The sequence below is a fragment of the Homo sapiens genome, chromosome 11 (genome assembly GCF_000001405.40).
Source record: "Homo sapiens chromosome 11, GRCh38.p14 Primary Assembly".
NCBI lineage: Eukaryota > Metazoa > Chordata > Mammalia > Primates > Hominidae > Homo > Homo sapiens.
Window position 1 is genome coordinate 86,993,714 of NC_000011.10, and position 7,468 is coordinate 87,001,181.

At 43.0% G+C, this 7,468-nt stretch overlaps 1 long non-coding RNA gene across 1 annotated transcript in view; it reads left to right on the top strand.

Annotated features, from left to right (window-relative positions):
* The window catches only part of FZD4-DT (FZD4 divergent transcript), a 45,330-nt gene extending 38,093 nt beyond the window's left edge, over positions 1-7,237 (top strand). The window contains exon 3 of the long non-coding RNA NR_038905.1: positions 6,163-7,237. This is a non-coding gene — a long non-coding RNA (FZD4 divergent transcript). The remainder of the gene's footprint in view (positions 1-6,162) is intronic.
* The last annotated feature ends 231 nt before the right edge of the window (positions 7,238-7,468 follow it).

A 7,468-nucleotide genomic window follows, 5' to 3' on the forward strand; every position in this document is an offset into this window, starting at 1 on the left:
TCCTATTTCTAATGGCCCGCCTATCTGTCCGTCCACCAATTTACATGAAGAGAAAATATTCTTCTTAGAGAACTAATGAATCAATAGTTCAAACATTAGGTGAATTTTAAAAACATTTTCCAGACACACAATATAATTTTTTTTTGCAATAGGTAGCTTAAATCTTACTGAGGCTAATTAAAGTGGCCCCCAAATGGTTATTTCTATAATATGTTCATGAAAATATCCCTTCAAAAATTCAGTTTATTATGTATATGTTGGCATATACATTAGTATATAAGTATATATTAGTATATAAGTAGTAGGGAAGTAGACGAAGCTAGATTATTGTGGGAAGCAGGAAAAAAAGATTAGCTTAGACTTGCCATAATTATAGCCTATATGTGATGAAATGTGGTAATTTGACAGTAGTTGATTTAATGGTATAATCCTTTTTTGCATTAGTAAGTACATATACATACATACATTTATCTTCACGCCTGAAGTCAGTCTTAGGCAGGCATGAGAAACCATGGCAAGCAACCCAGAAAGGGAATGCAGAAGGAGACTTTCATTAGTAGTTACTAGAGAGAGTGTGTTATCTCCAATTTGCTTGACGATCACCTCTGATCTTTTCATACTCAGGCTCCTGCTAAACTAGAATTATTTCTATTCCTTCCCTTTCCTAGTCTTTCTGAGGTCTTAGAAACTTAAAATCAGGCCAGGTGTGGTGGCTCACACCTGTAATCCCAACACTTTGGGAGGCCAAGGCAGGCGGATTACAAGGTCAGGAGTTCGAGACCAGCCTGGCCAACGTGGTGAAACCCCGTCTCTACTAAAAATACAAAAATTAGCTGGGCATGGTGGCGCAGGCCTGTAATCCCAGCTACTTGGGAGGCTGAGGCAGGAGAATCGCTTGAACGCAGGAGGCGAAGTTTGCAGTGAGCCGAGATCAGGCCACTGCATTCCAGCTTGGGCAACAGAGCAAGACTCTGTCTCGGAAAAAAAAAAAAAAATAGCCAGGTGGGGTGCCATGCGCCTGTAATCCCAGCTACTTGGGAGGCTGAGGCAGGAGAACCCCTTGAACCTGTGAGGCAGAGGTTACAGTGAGCCGAGATCATGCCACTGCACTCTAGGTGGGCCACAGTGTGACACTCTGACTCAAAATAATAATAATAATAATAAAATAAATAAATAAACTTAAAATTAGAGTGAAACTAGAGATAACCCTTAAAAAATATTCCAGCTGAGGGACTTACTCTTTGTTTTTTTCTTTTTAGATGGAGTCTCGCTCTGTTGCCAGGCTGGAGTGCAGTGGTGCACTCTCGCCTCACTGCATCCTCCACCTCCCGGGTTCAAGCAATTCTCCTGCCTCAGTGTCCCAAGTAGCTGGGACTACAGGCACCACCATGCCCAGCTAATTTTTGTAGTTTTAGCAGAGACAGGGTTTCACCACGTTGTCCAGGATGGTCTCAATCTCTTGACCTTGTGATCCATGAGCCTCCCAAAGTGCTGGGATTGCAGGTATCAGCCACTGCGCCCGGCCCAGCTGGGGGACTTATTCTTAAAAGGAGCTTGTGCAAAATGTTAATACTCACCATAACGGGAATGATAGCAATTTTCTGTGAAATGAGATGTGAAGAGAACCATCATTTATTGAGGATCTGCTATATGCCACATGATTTGTATATTAACTTCAGTGAATATTCACAATAAGCCTGTGATATATTAAAATTATTTGGTGATAGATCTGGCTGGAAAATGCAGAAAATCTGACTGCAGTGGATTAAAATTTATGGGAGTAGTCCACTAGGTGGTGCTGATATTGATGCAGCTTCTCAGTGACGACATTGAAAAACTAATCTCTGTCTGCATTACTATCCTTAGCAAGTTAACATTTAGCTTTGTTCATGTCTCATAATTGCAAGATGGCTACAGTAGCTCCAGATATCACATCCACATTAGAGGCAGAATTGAGAGAGGCCAGGCACGGTGGCCCATGCTTGTAATACCAGCACTTTGGGAGGCTTAGATGGGTGGATCACATGAGGCCAGGAGTTTGAGACCAGCCTGGCCAACATGGCAAAACTGTCTCTACTAAAAATACAAAAATTAGCCAGGTGTGGCTGGGTGCGGTGGCTCACGCCTGTAATCCCAGCATTTTGGGAGGCCGAGGCGGGCGGATCATGAGTTTAGGTGATCAAGACCATCCTGGCCAACATGGTGAAACCTCGTCTCCACTAAAAATACAAAAATTAGCTAGGCGTGGTGGTGGGCGCCTGTAATCCCAGCTACTCGAGAGGCTGAGGCAAGAGAATGACTTGAACCCAGGAGGCGGAGGTTGCAGTGAGCCAAGATCGCGCCAGTGCACTCCAGCCTGGTGACAGAGCAAGGCCCTGTCTCAGGAAAAAAAAAAAAAAAAAATTAGCCAGGTGTGCCAGGCGCGGTGGCTCACGCCTGTAATCCCATAACTTTGGGAGGCCCACCTCCCAAAGACCATGCTGGCTCACATGGTGAAACCCCGTCTCTACTAAAAATACAAAAAAATTAGCCAGGCGAGGTGGTGGGCGCCTGTAGTCCCAGCTACTCTGGAGGCTGAGGCAGGAGAATGGCATGAACCCGGGAGGCGGAGCTTGCAGTGAGCCGAGATTACACCACTGCACTCCAGCTTGGTCGACAGAGCGAGACTCCGTCTCAAAAAAAAAAAAAAAATTAGAGAGGTGTGGCTGGGTTCAGTGGCTCATGCCTGTAATCCCAGCACTTTGGGAGGCCGAGATGGGTGGATCACGAGGTCAGGAGTTCGAGACCAGCCTGGCCAACATAGTGAAATCCTGTCTCTACTATAAATACCAAAATTAGCTGGGCGTGGTGGCGGGCGCCTGTAGTCCCAGCTACTCAGGAGGCTGAGGCAGGAGAATCGCTTGAACCTGGGAGGCGAAAGTTGAAGTGAGCGGAGACCATGCTACTGCATTCCCGCCTGGCCAACAGAGCGAGACTGTGTCTCGAAAAAAAAAAAAAAAATTACCTAGGGGTGATGGTGTACATTTGTAATCCCAGCTACTTGGGAGGCTGAGGCACGAGAATTGCCTGAGGCACGAGAATTGCCTGAGGCACAAGAATTGCTTGTACCCAGGAGGCGGAGGTTGCAGTGAGCTGAGATCGCACCACTGCACTCCAGCCTAGGCGACACAGTAAGGCTGTCTAAAAAAAAAAAAAAAAAAAAAAGGGTAGAATTGAGGGAAAAGGATAAGGCCACACATAGCCTTCCTTTGGTTAGCAAAGAAAAATTTTCCCAGAAACCCCATCATCAGACTTCTACTTAGGTATTATTGACAACAAATGTTTCACATAGATACCCTTAGTTACAAAGGAGTCAGAGAAAGTAAGGGATAGGATTGTCAGGGTTGTGTTAGATTAGGGGTGGGCAAACAATAACCAAGTCTGGACCACTGCCTGTTTTTGTAAATAAAGTTTTCTTGCACCATATCTATACCCATGCATTTACATATTGTCTATGGTTGTATTCACACTACAATGGCAGAGTTGTGACAGAAACTGAATGGCCTGCGAAGTTTAAAATAGTTACTATTTGGCCCTTTTCAGGAAAATTTGCTGACCCCTGCCTTAAACCACTTGTGAGCCATCATCTAGGCTAGGCACTTCCCTCCCCCAAACAAAACTGGGAGAGCTTCTGATAAGAAGGGGACATTGTCACTGAGTAGGTCACTGACATTATCTGCCACATATAGCTGTTGTTACCTGTTTCAGATGAGGAGGATCAGAAAAGTTAAGTAACTTGCCCAAGGACACAAGTTGAATGAGGGCAGTCCTAATTTCAAGTTTTGATTCAAAGCTGACTTCATGTCCTTTTAACCATATCATAGTTTTGTGAGTTTTCTCATCTGTGAAGGAGCCGTAAGACAGCCACCTTTTATTCAATGCAGCCCTTAAATGAGTTGTACAAAAGGACAGAAAGCTAATGAATCTATCTAAATAGGTTCACAGTACAATTATTTATTTTTAAACTGCATTTCAGTGTTTGCTTTGTGGAGTCAAACTCTGTAAAATATTTGAAGAGATTTATTTTGAGCCAAATATGAGTGATGATGGCCCATGACACAGGCCTCAGGAGGTCCTGAAAACATGTGCCCAAGGTTGTTGGGGGGAGCAGCTTGGTTTTACACATTTTAGGGAGGCATGAGACATCAATCAAATACATTTAAGAAATACATTGATTTGGTTCAGAAAGGTGAGACAACTCAAAGCACGTTGGGTGGGGGGTGGGGGTGGGAATGGAGGTGGGGGGACTTCCAGGCTATAGGTAAATTTAAACATTTCTGGTTGACAATTGGTTGAGTTTACCTAAAGACCTGGGATCGTAGAAAGAAAATGTTCAGGTTAAAAATAAAAGATTGTGGAGACCAAGGTTCTTTTAAGTCTTATAGTGGCTGCCCTGAGAGACAATAGACAAATGTTTCCTATTCAGATCTTCAAAAGGTGCTAGACTTTTAGTTAATCTCTAGGATTGGGAGAACCTGGAAGAAAATGATCTAGCTATGTTAACAGAGATTCTCTACAGATGCAAATTTTCCCCACAGAGGACAGCTTTGCAGGAACAATTCAAGATATGGCAAAGAAACATGTTCTGGGGTAAAATATATTTATTTTCCTCCTTGTCTCATAATGTTATGCCAGATTCAGGTTGGAAAGCAAGTCACGCTATATAGGGTTAAATAAAACCCATCTGATGAGAATTTATGATTTCTAGGGCATGACTCCCCAGACTCCTTAGATAGGAATTGGGGCAAGATTAAAAAATCAAAGTTTAGTCCTCAGTTTCCCATTTGGTTCTCTTTCCCTTACATATAAACGCAGGCTATAATAACCTGAGCTACTTTAGAAAAGTTTATTTTTATTTATTTATTTATTTATTTATTTTTGAGACGGAGTCTTGCTCTTTCACCCAGGCTGGAGTGCAATGGTATGATCTCCGCTCACTGCAATCTCCGCCTCCCGGGTTCAAGCTACTCTGCTGCCTCAGCCTCCCGAGTAACTGGGCCTACAGGCACATGCTACCATGGCTGGCTAAGTTTTTGTATTTTTAGTAGAGACAGGGTGTCACCATGTTGGCAAGGCTGGTCTCCAACTCCTGACCTTGTGATCCACCCACCTCGGCCTCCCAAAGTGCTGGGATTACAGGTGTGAGCCACCATGCCCCGCCTAGAATAGGCTTTTTACAAATTATTTTTTGGGGCCGGGCATAGTGGCTCACGCCTGTAATTCCAGCACTTTGGGAGGCCGAAGTGGGTGGATCACATGAGGCTGTGAGTTCAAGACCAGCCTGACCATAATGGAGAAACCCCATCTCTACTAAAAAAATACAAAATTAGCCGGGCGTGGTGGCTCATGCCTGTAATCCCAGCTACTTAGGAGGCTGAGGCAGGAGAATTGCTTGAACCTGGGAGGTGGAGGTTGTAGTGAGCTGGGATTGCTCCATTGCACTCCAGCCTGGGCAACAAGAGCGAAACTCCGTCTCAAAAAAAAAAAAATTATTTTTCTCCCCAGCACTTCGCATATACCTAACACACAATAAGGACTCAAGAAAAGTTTGTTATACTCCATACTCCACTATTGTCTCATGTAAAGTAAATATATAACATTCATAATTTCATGTGTTATCTTCCCAATGAGGCTGTGAATTACATCTATGGATACCCACTCTGCACTTAACATATGCAAAATGAATAAGTGACAACCCCAACCCTCACCATTGGCTCCTTAGAACTGAAAATAATGGCAGTTGCAGTGTTTAAGGGCAACATGAATGGGCCACCTTTGGCCCGCCTGGTCAGTCTCATCTGTGTGTGATGGCAGCAGCATTTCTATGGAGCTCAGGCCTCAACATTGGGCTGTCTCTGTCCCTTTATTTACTCTGCAACCTTGAAACAGCAGCACAGGTGGTAAGAGAGCTAAGAACAGCATGATCAAGACAAAGGAAAAGGGCAAAATTTTGAGAGGAAGAAGAGGAAAGCTTTAGAATATTCATTTTTTTCTTTTTCCTCTCTCCATTCTCCATAACTCAATCAAGGGGATCTGGAAGAAACCACTTCCTGTCTTCCTGCCTTCCATTTCAAGTTTCTGAAGCTTCTTCAAATTTGTTCTCTCTCTCTCTCTCGCCTGCAGGTCATAGCCGTGCCTGGGAGAACCTTCTCTTCAACTCTGCCGCACCACTGTCAAGCTCACCTTTCTTCTAAGGTTTTATTTTAGAGTTAACATCCTCCAAAAAGCCTTCCTCAGGAGTTGAAGGTGCCCCTAATATCACAGCCATGGCATCCTGTACACTGGACCTTATTGTCTGTCTGCCTGTTGTACCTTGTATGAGTCTATAAGCAAAACCTATAAGAAGCCACATCTGGCTATTCTATGTACTCAAAAAATAATTGGCAAGTGAAAGAATGAGGAAAAGGAGAAAAAATTCAGAAGGCCCCTACCCCTTCCAATGGGTCAAGTCAGGAATTTCCTACCTGCATGTGATTCCCTGTGTCCTAGAGGGTTTTATTTACTCCTCAGACCTTGGAAACTGTTAACCAGAGTCTCTGTTTGGAGATCTTATCTGTGTGCTTCTCCATGGGTGTTGTTTCCCTGTCTCTGCAGCCATGCATTCCTCAGCTCTTTAAGTGGTGGAGCCTGTCTGCCTGGATAGAGTGCAAAAGCTACAGTGTAATCTTGCTTTCTTTCAGGGCCACTGACCAGAGGAAATAAAAACTGGACTGATTGGGCTCTCCTGATGTAGACCAGCCAGTGGCCCTCTAAGTTTCCTTCTATGTTTAAAATTCCTTATCTGACATTGCTAGCTGATCAGCAGGCCCACAGGTCAGCTGAGGGCTTATCTCCAGGGCTGGAGCTTCAAAGAGATACATGCACACGACTCCCCTGGGTCAGATGGGCTGTGTCACAGTGAGTTGGGGATAATTTGGGATCAGTCAACATAACACACATAACACAACCCATTAATTTTTTTTTTCAAAAAGCGAAGTTTATTTTACTTTTTCCCATTATGAAAGTCATCAATGCTCATTATAGAAAATTTGGCAAATAACAAAAAGTGGAAAGAAAAAAATTCCTTAATAATTTAGTATATTTGATATATTCATCCTTAATCCTTAATCTTTTACTATGTTATATCTTTAATAGTTGTGATGATATACTTTTTGTAATAAATATATATTTGTGTTGTGGCTTTTTTAAAATTTAAAAACATAACAAATATTTCCCCAAATTTCTATATTGTTTGGGTAAACAATTTTAATAGCTGCATAATTGTTTATATATAGCATAGTTTATTTAACTGTTTACTCGCTGTTAAGTATTTAGGTAGTTTTCAATATTTTTCTTTCTTTTTTTTTTTTTTTTGTGATGGAGTCTTGCTCTGTTGCCCAGGCTGGAGTGCAGTGGCACAGTCTGAGCTCACTGCAACCTCTGCCTCCCC